General features: G+C 36.9%; 1 protein-coding gene across 1 annotated transcript in view; it reads left to right on the forward strand.

Moving 5' to 3' along the window:
* ITGA1 (integrin subunit alpha 1) overlaps positions 1-16,533 on the forward strand; it is a 171,294-nt gene that overhangs the window by 74,318 nt on the left and 80,443 nt on the right. The window contains exons 4-6 of the mRNA NM_181501.2: positions 2,530-2,618; positions 2,738-2,849; positions 3,457-3,584. Of these exons, the coding sequence (NP_852478.1) occupies positions 2,530-2,618; positions 2,738-2,849; positions 3,457-3,584 (329 nt within the window). The remainder of the gene's footprint in view (positions 1-2,529; positions 2,619-2,737; positions 2,850-3,456; positions 3,585-16,533) is intronic.

Raw genomic sequence — 16,533 nt, forward strand, 5'->3', positions numbered from 1 at the left:
AAGAAAAGAAAAAAAACAGATTTTAATCAACTCAAGAAAATATTAGAAGTAATCTGTGTGTCAGAATGGTCGAGCGGTCTAAGGCGCTGAGTTCAAGAAGTAATCTATAATCATTTTTCATATAATCATTTATAATCTATAATCATTTTTCTATAATCATTTATCTTCCAGATTGACATAGAATGCCATTTTGATTCCCTCTGTCCTTAATTTGCTTTAGAAAGTCATCAAGGAGCATACATAAATTAGAATACCGTACTAATTTTATAACTTTTAACTCTCTGCATTTTTCAGAATTCTTTCTAATTCAGTGGTAATGTGAAAGAACTTCTCCAAATAAACCTGCCCACCACATTCCCTCCACAAAATTTAACTTAGTGCCTGGTTTTCAAGAGGAAATAGAATCAGAGGAATTGTAATAGATAAATTTAATTTTAAAAATAGAATCACACAAGATAAATTTATATTGAAATAGATGTATTTGACATAAATAGTAGGAATGTGACCGGAAAATTCCTACTAAAATTATCTAGAAATTAGAACCCTGTCAATGTTCTATACAATATTACATACTATGGAAATTATTTATAGCCCCACAAGTTTATTTCACATATTGTATTTTTCAGTTCTCCTTTTTTTGAATTTTCTATTTGTTTGTTTTTATGAACTTTTTTTCTTTACATGCATAAGCATACTTATAATAGCTGCTTTAATATCCTTGCCTGATAATTCCAACATCTGGAATATCTCAACATCACTTTCCATTTATTACCTTTCCTTGAGGTTGCATCACATTTTCCTGTCTTGTCTTGTAATTTTGGATCATAACCTGGATTATATTTTTGAATTACAGGTGTGGAGATTCTAGATTCTGTTATATGCCTGTGAATAGTCTTAACTTTTTTTATTAGCAGGAAATTTACTTGGCTCAACTCAATTTCCAAGCATTGACTTTCTTGCAATGACAAGTAGTTAAAATCTCTATTCAGGTTTTATTTCAGCTGGGCTATTTGAAATATACTCTGCGCATTTACTATTCAAGTCATCTAGTTATTTGGATAAAATATATATGCATATTATAGAACTGTTGTTTTGTGGCTCTTTTTCTAAGATATACTACTCTCCTCCTCATTTTGCAGCTGCTGTCATTGCCCTCAATCTCTGTTCTCTTTTTATTCAGTACAGTAAGACTAGGAGTTCTATTTGAGTTTTAGCCACTGACCAGGGCCTTCCCTAGGTTGGGGGTGGGTTAGGGGTGGGGGACAAAAACAAAACAAAACACAAAAGCACAAAACTCATTTAGTGCCAGTATCTTCTTCCAAGTATGGATTCCCCTCCATTTTCTGCCACCTTTCTAGTGCCTTCAGGTGATTGTTTCATGTATTTTTTTTAATTCTTCCTAGAATTTATAGTTGTGATTTGCAGAGGAGCTGTTTTGTTAGGAGTTACTCCTCCCTTACTGGAAATTGGAATAGTTTTAAAATTAGGCTAGAGATTTTAGCCACATCAAGTACAGTAGGGAAGTTTCCACTGTAGTCCCTAATTGTCCCAGGAATGCTTTTTCTGGGTCAAGCTTTGTATATAAAACTCTAATCCAGATTATACAAGATCAATGCATACAATCGCCCAGCTCTAGGTGCTTTCAAAGCAAACCAGACTAAACTCTTGGACAAAGGCCATTGCGCAGATCAGGAAGTCTAACTGACCATTCCAGAATCTCTGCTTCCATTCCCCACTTTAAATCCACATACAGTCTTAACATGAAAACAACCTCTGGAACAAACAGTGAGACAAATCTTTCTCAACCTGAATTTTGCCTCTTTCTAATATTCCACTCTACTAAGCAGATTTAGAAGTTCTTGTTTTTCCTGTCCAGTCTTTTTTTCTTTTTTAGTGTGAGAAAGTGAAACTTCTTGCCAATATTGTTAGGCTGGCATGCTTCATGCTTCAGGACCCAACATTCCCTTCAGAATGTCAAATGCAGTCTCTTTACTGTGTTTCCTTTATCAAAACTTTCTGGACACTGCTCTAATATTCCTCTAGTTTCCTTTGTCACCCAAAGGATGTCCTCATGATTTTGGAAGTCATGGTCAAAAAACTGGTGTTTGAGTTTTCTTTTCTGATCTTCTACCCATTTCCCCTTTTCTTGCCAAAAATCGTGTTTCATCACTGGTCATTTATAACAAAGTTATAAGATTACATTATATCTACAGTATTATGAGATTAAAAACTTTGCTTTAATTAGCAAGAACGTGCAAAAAGCAATCCCACATTCTCATTGCCCTGCTAGTTCTGCATTCTTTCACAGTTCAGCAAAACTATCTGAAATAGTTTCTGGGACATGAGCCAACTCTTCAGCCTTAGCTTGTTCATTATATTCCTTAAGAAGACTTGGAAGACTAATTAGTTGAACCAAAAGAAGAATGTGCTATGATATGAGCAAAACAAATAGAATGTCTTAATGAGAGATGCTTAAAATTTCACTTTGTGAAACTTTTCCTCCCTCATAAAATTTTGTTCTATTTTTAGTTAATACATCAATTCCCAATGTCACAGAAGTAAAGGAGAACATGACATTTGGATCAACTTTAGTCACCAACCCAAATGGAGGATTTCTGGTAAGAATGGAGAGAATGATATTTATTGACAACAGATATGCTATCATTTTAAGTCTTTGTAAGATCTGTTATATAATTTTCAGTCTAATGATTTCTAATTTTAAAACAATTTTTTAAAGGCTTGTGGGCCCTTATATGCCTATAGATGTGGACATTTGCATTACACAACTGGAATCTGTTCTGACGTCAGCCCCACATTTCAAGTCGTGAATTCCATTGCCCCTGTACAAGGTACAGATTTTATGCAATGTTCTTGCATGTTTGAAAAGCCTATGCAATGAATGAGACGTATGTATACAAAGGAACATACCAAAAAGCTTAAAGTATTTTCTTAGCTACCAGCATTACCAATTTAGGTAAATGTTTGCTTTGCCAGTATATAACAAAATCTGACTGCTATTTTTGGAATTGATATTAGTGTAAATAACTTTACAAAGTCATTTTTAAACATCATAGATAAAGCTGTCATGCTGCTTATATTTAAAGAATGAGTCTCTTTGAAGAAAGAAGTAACTTCATTTGAGATATGCTCAAAAACTGTTTTATAAAAACTTATATAAAATTCATATTGAGAAAATTTGCAAAGATAACTCTCATACAATACTAATTAAAATTCAGTAGGTATGAATTTTATCCCACACCAATTGTTATTGAAAGCAATGAATATTTTTATCATCTTTACTTTTTCGAAAACTATTTTTTATTGCTAAAACAATGTGTCTACTTTGGAGAACATCAGTTCATCTTTTAAAATGAACTTCTTTCAGCCATGAAAGCACTTCATATGCCTCTGAAAAAAATAGATTCCAAATTTGACAATTGACTCCTTTTATTGCAGAATGCAGCACTCAACTGGACATAGTCATAGTGCTGGATGGTTCCAACAGTATTTACCCATGGGACAGTGTTACAGCTTTTTTAAATGACCTTCTTGAAAGAATGGATATTGGTCCTAAACAGACACAGGTATGTGACTTTGTGTTTTGATTTCTGTTGTTCTAAAGATAAAAATGCACAAATTTTTAATAAAACCAAATATTCTGAAAGCAAATTAATCAATAAAACTAAAGTTGAGAATGAATTTTATATCCATTTCCTGTTCTTATTTCTGATAAAAAGGACATTACTTTAAGCTGTGTTATTTTCTATTTTTTTCTTTTTTCTTTTTTCTTTTTCTTTTTTAGACAGAGTCTCACTCTGTTGCCCAGGCTGGAGTGCAGTGGTGCAATCTCAGCTCACTGCAACCTTCACCTCCCAGGCTCAAGCAATTCATATTTCTCAGCCTCTCCAGAAGCTGGAATTACAGGCATGCGCCATCACACCTGGCTAATTTTTTAAATTTGTAATAGAGATGGGGTTTCATCATGTTGGCCAGGCTGGTCTCAAACTCCTAGCCTCTGGTTGATACACCTGTCTCTGCCTCTCAAAGCATTGGTATTACAGGCGTGAGCCACTGTGCCCAACCTAGGCTGTGTTATTTTCTAAACAGAAAATATTATGAAAGCTGCCATTTTTAATGCACTTGAAAAATAACTCCTATAGAGTTCTATAAACTCATAGTTTAATTTTTACTTAAAATGGATATAGCCACTTTTGGTAATGTCAGAGCCGGGTGTCAGAGTTTGTAAAAACTAATCTGACATCCCAAACAACCCATCACATTATAATCTCTCCTCTCATATTATACAAATAAGTTAGTAACTGACCAGAGGATACTACTTAAAGCCTGTTGTCCTTTCTGTTAATAATTTCTTTTCCCTAAGTTAAAAGAAAATGCCCCTGGCTATCTCTGCATAAAATCAAATAGTTGTTTGTTTATCCCCCCAATTAATATCTATTTCTAAACACATCTCCTTTATTGCCACTAAATGAAGTGGAACTTCTCACACAGCTTTTCCACTTTAGATACTGAGTTTAATTTAATTACATTTAATTAAATACATTTGACTGATTTAATGTTTATTAAACTCATATGGGCATATATATTAAAATACAGGGCAGACATAATGGATAACAGGCAAATAAAATGTCAAAATGAAGTCAATGCCTCAGGTCAGGAATTAGCCCTAGAATCAGAGCCTAAAAGATTGTTGTGTGGTTTGGAGGCTGTAGAGAGCATAGGAGACTTTAAGATTATAGTACTGCAATCAATACAGTGATCTTCCTTTTTTTTTTTTTTTTCTGAGGACTTTACTTTGGGAGAAGTTTCTGAGGCACTGAAAAAGCAGACTGACTGCGTTAATGTTTGCCACACCTACATTAAATTTGGAACATAATATGTGCACATATATATACATACATGTGTCTTCATGTGTCTGTGTATATTTATGTCTCTCTTAATATTTTGATATCTATGTATATATAATTTTCTAAAAGGATGGTGGTTGAAAATTTCAAAGTTGAACTCAAACTTCAAAGTGAAATGTATTGCTGCATTCCAAGGCTGAATAGGTCTCTGTAGAGAGTGAGTGGAAGGGTAAGGTTATAAATATCCTGCTGGACAATAGAGAACTTGTTGAAATCAGTGTAAAATCATTAAAAATGAAATGGGCTTTTACGTATCACAAAATGTAATTTTCCCTGGAAGTGACTTATTTGCAATTGACCTTCTCAAGTGAAATTACTAGTGGATGGTAGGGGACCTTTTTATCCCGTCTTGCTACAGGGTACAGGGCAGCCTGCATCTTAACAGACCAACTCCAGGATGTGACTTGCTCTTCCTTCTGGCACCTGTTCCTCATGGACCTCCTTTTTTCCCTTCTGAGACCACTCTTCCTTCCTCCTTTCCTCGCTTCCCCTATCCCTTCTCTCCTTGGCCAATAAGATAGCATAGAGTCATAAGATTAAAGCTGGAAAGAATCTTAAAGGTCATTTGGCCCCCAACCTCAATTTATGAAGGAGACACGAGAGGCTAACTGATTTGTTTAAGGTCTTTCTGCTTGCTGATGGCAGATTAGAACACACACAGCTCTCTAATTGTAGCCCAGTTTGCTGTTGTTTTTTTTCTTTCTGAGGGCTCTACTTCTAGAGAAGCTTCAGAGCCAGTACCATCTAATGCCCCTGAATAGTAGATTTCAATCCTTTTCTATTTCATGAGGATGACTGTCCTCATCCTTCCTCAGGCAGCCTCTTGGCTGAAACCGTGCTAGGCTTGGCAATGACTCACTGCCTGGACTAATACCTTAAATGAAATGGCTTGTGTTCCCGCTTTCTCCACTTTTGCCCATGATGTGCTTTCTTTCCTTCTTCTTGTTTTGTCCATCCCATTTGATCTTCTTACCTAACTTTTTCCTTCCAAAGCTAATAACATGCTTGAAATATTTTTTACAATTTATTATACAGCCATCTAAATATTTTATTTTACCTTTAAATTCACTTATGTATATTACTCTTAAAAATTAATTTATTTGTAGCTATTTGTGAAAATTAGTGCAGCTGTGACATGTCTGAAGTTGGTCCACAACTTTAGAAAGAAAATCCATACGGCTCTTTTAGAACAATAATTACAGCTTCTGTGAAGATCTATGCCAGTGACTCCATTTTGTAAAGAAATAAATAACAGTCAATTGCTTATATGCTCAAGCTATTCTTCTGCAATTTCGATGTTTTTCAGTTAGAACTATAATTAATTTACATTTCTGTGTTGAGAGTCCTAAAAGAGGAGCTATTCTGCCTGTCCACCAGAGGAATTCTAGCCTGCCAGAGTGGGCAACATGAAGTTATATGTATTTTCTGGAGGGAACAATGGCTCTATTCAGACAAATTCAGGAGGGCCCTTGGGGTCCAGATGCTACCAGTGAATGGGAGGAAAATGAACTTACCCTGCAGCAGAAGAGTTCAGTTACATTTACCAAGATCCAGGACCTCAATCCACAGAGAAGAATATTTCTGAATGAAGCACCCTGCACAGTGTCGTTTACATTATCTTCTGACTTCACCCAAGGGAACCTGATTTTTAAAGAGAGAAGCTGATTATATTTCTGAATTTTTATGTCACATCTTGCTTTCATCATTGATTGTGGAGCTTAACCATATACATTCATTCATTTATTCAGATGTATGTACTAAGGGCTTACTATGTTCCAAGCTCTATGCTATAGCTTGGGTAATAGTGGGGAAGATGACAGACAAGGGTGATGCCTTAATGGTGCTTCTGTCTAATGCCATGTTTCTCCAATTATGGCTCATGGAATTTCTGCTTCCAAATCACTGGGATGCTTGAACTATACCCCAGATTTTCAAAATCAGAATCTCTGAGGGTGGGGCTATAAGCCTGCATTATATATAAGCAACCCATATGATTCTTTTCTGTTTGTTTGTTTTTTTGACAAGGAGTTTCACTCTTGCTACCCAGGCTGGAGTGCAATGGTACGATCTTGGCTCACTGCAGCCTCCACCTTCTGGGTTCAAGCAATTCTCGTGCCTCAGCCTTCTGAGTAGCTGGGATTACAGGCATGTGCTACCATGCCCAACTAATTTTTGTATTTTTAGTAGAGATAGGGTTTCGCCATGTTGGCCAGGCTGGTCTTGAACTCCCGACCACAGATGATCCGCCTGCCTCGGCCTCCCAAGGTGCTGGGATTACAGGCTTGAGCCACTGTGCCTGGCCCCATATGATTCTTAAACAGATTAAAGTTTGAGAAACACTGGACTAAGGCATAATTATTATATTAGTGTGCGTGAGTGTGTGTCTGTCTATCTGTGTTTGCTGCATACTGTAGATAATAGGCACCTCAAGAGCAAAGTCTGCATCATCTTCTTATCTTCGTCAGTGGCCAGCCCAGTGGTTTACTGTGGCACAGTAAGTCCTCAATGAGCACTTGTTGAGTAAATGTTTGTATCATATTGAGTCCAGTTTTGTATTTTTCTCTGATTATTGGACATTTAATGAGTCTTTTTTCTATAACTGGTATTTTAAAAATTATTTTAAGTATATTACTTTATACTTTATTCTCTAGTATTCAGTCTTTTCTAATCTTTTTTTTTCTATTTTGGCTTATGTTTTATCAGTGACTAAATTCATAAATAATTCTCTAAAATGAAGAGATTGGAAAGGACATATTTACCAAGCCATTGCTTTTGCTAAATAACATTTAATAGGGTTTTAAGTATAATGCATGTGAACTCTTTTTAAAGTTTGATCATCTTTCAGTGGATTCAGAAAAGAAATCCTGTCATAGAAAATTTGGAAAGACATTTCCTTTTCAAAGAAAATATGTGCTGAAAAGCATGCTTATCTTTCATGTAGTCTTACAGTAATTCTTTCCAAAAACTGTTTACTTGACAATCAATTCTTTTTCTTGATTGGTTGCTAATGTAATTTAAATCCATTTGATTTGTTTGTTTGTTTGTTTTTAGTTTTATTTGTTTCTTTTAATGAAAGCATTCAATTCCACCCTATGATTGGCAGAATTAACTTCTGGAATTTATTCTCCCCTTTATGTATTCTATCTCTGTTTCTGAAAGGAACAGATGTAAAAATGAATTGTGAGAAAGATTACCCAGAGGAGGGTGCAAAAGATAGAAAGCTAAGAGCTGGACAGAGAACTTTTAGACTCCTCATCCATACCAAATTTCTAAAAGACTATGAATGTAGTTGTAAGATTTGTAGAGAGGATTTCTCTGTAGAAAGAGCCTACTCAGAAAGGCTTCAGTGGGGTCATACACATCTTAGTATGTGTATACTGGAGTTGGGACACATAGTTGATTGACTAATGCCTAACTCCTGTCTGAATTGTCAGAGCATGACAGCAGCTGTTATGTCTAGCTGCTGACAGGGAAGTCGGAGCAGAGGTCACTGCACTGGAGTCAGCCTGCATCCCCAGAGATTGTTAGAATGCATGTGTTTTCCCAGGATTGGCATGGGTACTCAAAAGCAAGAGCCAGTGTGAGGTCATGTCAGGGCCTGTCCTTAGGGATTACTGGAAGTGAGTGGCTGCCTCTGCAGAGAATGCAGAAGATCTCTGTAATTCTTAGGAACTGAGGCAGTGGGATGCATTCACTCAGGGCAAGGGTGTAGGTGAGATATCTCAATGAAGGGAGTTCTCCAAAGAACCCTTGAAAAACTTGTACATACCTATTAGGACCTGATTCATCTTAGGATAATACCAATGCAGTAATAATTTCTCTATCCTTATTTATCTTCCCTACCTCTGTCCCTGGAAGGTCAGAAATCACAGTTAGCACTCTAAGTGAAAACAAGTAGGAAAACAAATAAAAGCCAGTCATGCATCTTTCTCAACTACAGGCTTCTTACCTCGTGTAAGCCCTTAGTAGAAGTAGGAGAGAAGATTTAACTACAAATGCGCTTTGATGTTTCGCCTTGTTGGTTTTAATTTAGACAGAACCATATGAAAGTATTGCTGTTTGATCTTTTTTTTCCCAACCTACAAATACAGCAATTTCATTTGGTACAGCCTAAATTAAAATATATAACTTTTTAAATTAACAGACATTTTAAAACTAAGAATAAAAAAAAGTCATAAGATATTTATCTTTCCATCTAGGGATAGCAAAATACTTCACTTTAAATAAATTTTGAAGGACTGGTGGGCCACAAATAAAGGTTATATTCTAATTACACCTCCTGTATTTTTGTTTGCTGTATTGATTAGTTACACATTTGGTACAATAGATATAGATTGAATATGATTCCTATTCTCTGCAGTCATAGATTTGTCATTTAGTAATTGCAAGCAATAAAAGGCAGAGTCAAAGATATGGAATATTTCCCAAAGTAACTGTTACCTCCAAAAAACAAAAATAAAAAAAAAGAAAAGGAAAGGGGGAAGGAAGGAAGGAAACTTACATTAAGTTTTCCATGTGACAATTTAGTATACATTAGGGAAATACAACACAACGATGGAAACATTCACTCTAAAGAGTTACTCAAAATCCATTCTATGTTTCTGTGTGGCCCAATTAAGACTTTTGCAAGCATAGTCAAGGAATTTTTGTCAACCAATTTTTTACCCAAGACAGAGTAAAGGCTATAAAATTGCCTTTTAAAAATCACCTATAAAAACAAACCTGAAACACTCTGAGCTTGCCATTAAAGATATGATGGTGTAAACATTATGGAGGTCTTATTGATCCTCAATACCTAAACATAACATTGCTTTTAATAATAAATGAAGATAATATAAATATGTCAAATAAGTGTGCATTACCCTAAATAAAACCAGTAAATTGTGAGGCTTGATATAAAAGTGAAATATACTAACGGAACAATGTCTAGATTGTTCACATCAAAAGTGTAGCATAGCATTAAACCAAGCAAAATGAAACAGAGAAATTAATTAAATTTTAGGAATATTATTTATCTTTCTTTTTACTGCTGATTTTATGGCCATTTCCCTAGAAGCCTTAAATCTGGGGCCTGATTCATTGTTTGTAGGTCTGAAAAGAAGCCTGAGGGAGACATGCAGCCATACCTTTGTCAGTCTGCTTACAGTTTCCGAATGTGGGGTAGGGAATGGGGTGAATCTTCTCTCTCACTAGCCTCTAGTCTCCATTCTCCCACCCCTCCAGCCATCAGGCACTAGAATAATCATTCCGAAGTGAGTTCAGAACATTTCCCTAATAACAAACAAAAAAGAAACAAATAACTCTTCTTGTTGCCTGCTAAATAATATCCAAGCTCTCTAGTGGACTAACTGGCATCTGACCACCTGGCCCAGCCATTTCTCATGCATCCTGCTTCCCCTTACACCCGCCTCAGTCAATTTTTTTTTTTTTTTTTTGTGGGTGGAGGAGATGGAGTTTTGCTCCGATCTCAGCTCACTGCAACCTCCGCCTCCCGGGTTCAAGCTATTCTCCTGCCTCAGGCTCCCGAGTAGCTTACCCTTCAGCCATTCCTGGGCCCTTGCCTTCCTTGTTCATGAAGTGCTGTGCTCTTGTTACTTGCTTTTCCTGTGATTCCCTGCTCCATCTCAAGCGCTGTATTCTAGGAGAATTTCAAATGTCACTTTCTCTGTAATTTTCTATGATTATCCTACCCACTGTTCTTGAGAAAAATGCCTTCCTCTCCTATGTTCCCATAGCAGCTGCAACCGTGAGAGCACATTTCCTTACTGCTCTTATCACTCAGTAGCATTGCTCTTTGTTTTTTGGGTCTGTCTCTTCTAGTAGACTGAATTACATGACGACAGAATTGTGCCTTAGTCTTTTCATTTATGGAAGATAGTCTAGGGTTTTATGTTTCCTAGCACATGACATGAGCCATTTATGTTGAAAAAATGGGAGTTTTTGAATTTTCACCTTCTCATGTATAAAATCGTTGTTTTTAGTGACCTCTTTCCCTTACTTTGCTTCATAAAGTCATATTGATCCACTGAGCTGGAAGGTACTTGCTTGTGGGGGATTCCCCTGGACAACCCTTTACATTGTATTTCAGTCTTTTCTTTGCAGGTGTTTACCCACCTAGCCCTATTCCCCTCAGCCCTAATTTCTCCTATAGCCCTTGCCCTTCTCCACAAACACAGTGAATTAACTTTGTTTTAACCTCTCCTATCTTTGCATTTTTGAGCCTACGTCACTTTCATTGTAGCATCTTCCATGAAGCAAGAGTCCAGATAAAGATACCCTTTTTCTAGAACCTGTATCTATTATGTATCAACTTTATTATGTTTCTGAACACTTGTTTCCTTAGGAAATAATCATCTACCTGTAAATCAGTCCCATTTATATCCCTCTTTATAATGACAAAATGTTAAACCTAGCCTCTGCTAACATAGCTTCAGAATGGTTTGTGCTAACAGTTAACTGGGATTGTATCCTGTATTATCACTACATTTATATCCTGACTTAGTCACACTGGAAGCATGTTGTAGGGTAGGGCTTTGTACCATAGTTTGATAAAAGGAAATATACATTGGCCAGACATAAAGCCTGAGCTCTTTTCATATTAGGCAATTGTGCATCTTACAGGAACACACAAAAACACCTCATTGTTTCACCTTGTCATTACTTCTGTAAAGGAACAATTGACTTGGTAATATTAGTTATTGAATGAAAGCCCAGAAACTTAGCTTATGCTGGGCATTAAAATTTGGGTGCTGGTGTAACCCTGACTTAACAAGATAGATATAGAAGATAATAATATAATTATTAATTAATAGATAACTCCATTCCTTCATAACTCTTTGACTAAATATACTTATCCTAGTTGAGTTTCTGTTGCTATAACAAAATACCCAAGACTAGACAATTTGAAAAAAAAAAAAGGTGGATTATTTAGCTCATGATTCTGGAGGCTGGGAGGGCCAAGATAGGGTGGCTGCAGCTGTTCAGCTTCTGGTGAGGGCCTTGCGCTTGGGTCATAACATGGTGGAGAAACAGGAATGGAAGCAGCCACGTGCAAAAAGACCAAACACAAGAGGCAGCCTCGCTTTGTAACAACCTGTTCTCTTGTAGTAACTAATCCAGCCCCACAAGAGTGAGAACTCACTCCTGTGATAAAGTCCCTCTTGACTCCTCTTTTTGCCTCTTAAAGGCACCACCTCCCAACACCACTCCATTGGAGACCAAGCATCAACATGAGTTTTGGTGTCTCGGTGGGGACAAACCATATTCAAGCTGTAGCAGAAACATAGCTACTTTAGATACTTCTTTTTCTTAAACACTCTTATCATTTAAGATAGTTGTTAAAATCTTAAACATGACTTTCAGTTTCATAAGAGACTAATCCAAAAGGCCCTCCTTTCAGTGTTTTCTGATAGTGTCCTTCCTTTCATGTTCACACACTCACTTTTCTCCCTCTTTCTTCTCTGCACCCAAAAGAAATGAAGTCATTGGATAATTAATTTGCTTTAATTGAGCAGATATTTATAAAGTGTCTGGACGATCAAGTATTATGCTAGGTGTCAAGAGCAATAAAAAAAATCACTGAAATGTTGTTCCTGATTCTAAAATCTTCCAATTTAGAAATGAGGTAAAATAATATATTGGGACAGCTACAATGCATGATGGTATGTCATAAATATAATGAAGGTGAATTTAAAACACAGAACAATTAGTTGATCTTGACAAGTAAGTAAGTCTTACTGTTGTAGAACATTGTTTCCCAGTCTGAGGTGTTGAATATGATCCTCACAAAAAAATATTACTTTAAATAAGAATAAAATATACCAGGTCTTCCAATTAGTAATCCACAATGCATGTTTTTAAAGACTCTGAGAAAACTTTCAAAAGAATTTGCTTATAAGTCTAAATAGAACAAGTAGGGATAGGAGTAAGAGAAAACCTTACTCTTTTGCACCATTTGCAATTTGTGACAGTTTTCATAGTGATAGGAGAAAGGTAGAGATGGGGAGGAGTCTGCCGTAAAGATATATATTTAACTTTATTTTACTCATTGTTTTCCAAGATTATTTGACCATAGAATTCTTTTTTAAATCAAACTTAGTAACATACAAAGGGATGCTAGTATTCCCAAAAAAAAAAAAGTGAGTGGATATTTGTGTGGGGGCTTACCAGAAAATATGATTGTAAATCTCATATTTAAGTGGAATGTTCTAATAAGTGTTACAAACCTCTTGTTCATGTAACAAAATTCATAGCCAATTGTGTACCTGATGTATGCCATAGCCTGAATCAGCCTTTAGGTCTCTTTGGCCTTGGATTGTAATTATCTACCCATCTATTTATTTTGTTCTACTTAATCAAGAGGTTTAAACCACATCTCCCCAGGAGGTAAATGTATCCTTTCCAGTTGTCTCTGAAAAGGAATTTTCCTTCTGCATGTGACTCCTTATCCCCCGTGATATTATAAGAAACTGTTCTTTCTATATTCATCTACTCTTTTACTGATACCACAAACTGCTCTTTACAATCTCTGGGAAAGAATGTCCACATTTAACCCGGTTGCACCTTTTTAGCTGTCATCCCTGCATACCCATTTCTATTCATCAAAATGCCTAGGATATTTCCACCTCCATGATTTGTTGTCATCAGCTCTCTATCCAACTTCCACCATCTGACTTTTGTATCATCCCAACGTAATTGGCTACTTCAAGTCAAATATTAGGATTACTGGTTTTTTTTTTCCTTTTTCCTCTCAATTTCTAGGATGACTTAAACTCCTTTAATTATCATCTTTGACATATTTTCCAGGCTGAGGGCCACTTTGTTTCCTTCCATAGTACTTTCATAATCTCTTGGCTATTTTTGAGCTGGCTTTCAGATTCAGGAAGCTGAATCCTCCTTCCTCCTTGAGGATTTTCACGTGGGAGAGAATAAATATGCTTGTGATTTTCTCTCCTCTTGCTTCCTCACGATGTTCATCACTTGGCTCACTTTTTAACTTGCTATTTAATTCTCATACTTTATTTGATTCTGCTACATACATTTACATTATGCTTGTTTTATTAGCCTTAAATTATAAGCTAAGGTGAAATGGGAACTATCTCTGTTGAATTGAATCTCACCAATATTCAGCACAACATTACATTTGTTTGTTTGTGATTTGACCCTTGTCTGTAATGAAAATTAACACTAGGTTAGTGCCAAAGTAATTGCGGTTTTGCCATTATTTTTAATAAATGGTACCCTTTTCTGGGGAAGACTCACAGCACACCTTACTCTTTCTGGTTCCTAAGAAAACAAGCACCCCGGTATCAGCCAGGGAACTACATTGAATGTCATTTCCCTGAGACTTGAGTTTTTCCACTGCTCCCTCTTCACATTTCCCAGACTTCGTTGTATCTCTCTTTTTCTGCTTATCATTATTTCCCTGCTATCTCGGTTTTCCATTTGCTTATGCGAAATGTTACAGTCATCTAGTAAGAATGTCTTAGGGTCAGCTGTGAGCAAAGCAAAACAGCAGTGAAGGATAAGAGAATATCAAAAGCCATGACATAGTCCATACTCTTTACCCCTGCCTGTCCCTCTAAAGTTAGGATGTACTTGGGAAGATATAGTGTGCACTCAAACAGTTGAGAAGAATGCAATACTCACAGACAAGTTTGTTTCAGAGTTCCAAGAAGGGGAAGCTCAATATGGGCTATCCTGGCAACAAGGTAAGAAAAGTTTTGCAGAGAGAGTGGAACTGGAATTAAATCTTACAAGATTAGCTTAGTAGGAGGGACAAAGAAGTGCATTTGGTAGGAGTGGAGTTCATATTGGGGAGTCCTGAAGATGGGGGTGAATGGAGAATTTAGCATTGGAATATTAAGGGACTGAAGGTCAAGAGGAGAAAACTGGATTTTAACATATGGACCTAGTATTTCAAGGAGTAGCTTGAAGTTTTATCTATTTTTAAAAAATTAGAATAAAAATCTATCTTTTAAAGTATATTTCGAAGTCATTGATACAGGCAATGGAGAGTTATTGGAGGTTTTTGAACAAGTATGTTATAGGATGAAAGCAGAGTTTCAGGACAGTTAGTCTGCCAGGAATATGTAGAAGGATGTGAAGAGAGTGGAAATGAAGAGAGGGAGATCAGCAGCAAAGAGACTGACCATTGCCATGGTCCAAGTTCAAAGCAATGATGTCTGGCCTGAGCTAAGGTAATGAGGTAGGAGGCGAGACTTGACTCTGGAGTCGGGCTCCAACACCAGATCAAATTGAGGACTAGATAAAACAGGGATGAGGCAGAAGATGCCTTCCATAAACACGCCCACCAGGGTGCCATGTTAGTTTACCATTGACATGGCAACAACCAGGAGTTACTGTCCCATTCCATGGCAATGACCCAAGGACTCAAAAGTTATTACTCCTTCCCTAGAAAGTTCTGCATACACCACCTCTTAATGTACATGTGATTAAAGTTAAGTATGAATATAACTGCAAAACTGCCCTGAGCTTCTCCTCTCTGCCTGTGAGGTAGTCCTGCCTGGCAGGAGCAGTCACGGAGCCGTAAGGCCACCAGAGCTGTAACGCTGCAGCTTCAAAATAAAGCTGTTTTCTTCCACCTCTGGCTTGCCCTTGAATTCTTTCCTGAGCAAAGCCAAGAACCCTTGTGGGCTGAGACCCATTTTGGGGCTCACCTGTCCTGCATGAGTAGGAATGCAGGGACACAGTTGACAGCTGCCTTAGATCCAGCTCCCAGAAGCAAACCCTGAGAGGACGATTCACATGATAGTGATATATTTGTGAGGAAGCATTTCCAACAGAAAGCAGATGAATTGGGGAAGCAAAACAAGGTATCAACAGAGGACAAAGGAAAGTGTAATTTCAAGTGGAATCCAGGCCTCAGCTTGATATGGAAGGGGAGTTTCTACTTGAGTCAAGGGGCTGATTTCTCATTCCCTGCACTCACCATTGCCTGTGGATCAGGGTGATGGGGAGCTGAGGAGGACGGGGGACTCCCAGACACTCCTGGTTTTTTCAGTCTTTGGGGTAAAGCAGTCTAGTAGCTCAAGTGCAGTCATCTGAAGAGAGTCTCAGGTAGAGTTGTTAGAAGCAAAGTATCCAGAGCAGATAAGGGAATAGGCAGTTATAACTCATCTTATATTTTAAGATTTACAAAGAATAAGCTTTTAGAAGCCAGGCACATATTGGAGGTGGATAGATGGATGATAGAGATGTAAAATTTAAAGCACTGATTTCTGACTTACCAACATTTTGAGTTTTTTACTATTCCTAGTGTGAAGATAATTTTTCCGGACAATCCAATGGTTCATAGTAGGTTCTTTAAGATATGTAAAGTGTGTTGTAAATGTAAAGTATTAACACACATGTGGCAAAAAGCAGTCTTGTTAAGTTGGCATCTCTTCAGCTCCTCTCATGTGAGCTCATCCCCACATGTAAGTGAGATAACCCTTTTTCCCAAGGAGTTGGCAGTTTACGACAATTAGATTAAAACCAATAAATGAGAACAACGTGGACTCATTAGTAAAAAATAGTTGTAGTGTTTGACAGCGCTCAAATATGCAACCTCCTTTGAGATTCATGGTCATTCCTTTAAAAGGAGACC

This window comes from Homo sapiens, chromosome 5 (assembly GCF_000001405.40).
Source record: "Homo sapiens chromosome 5, GRCh38.p14 Primary Assembly".
NCBI classification, from domain to species: Eukaryota; Metazoa; Chordata; class Mammalia; order Primates; family Hominidae; genus Homo; species Homo sapiens.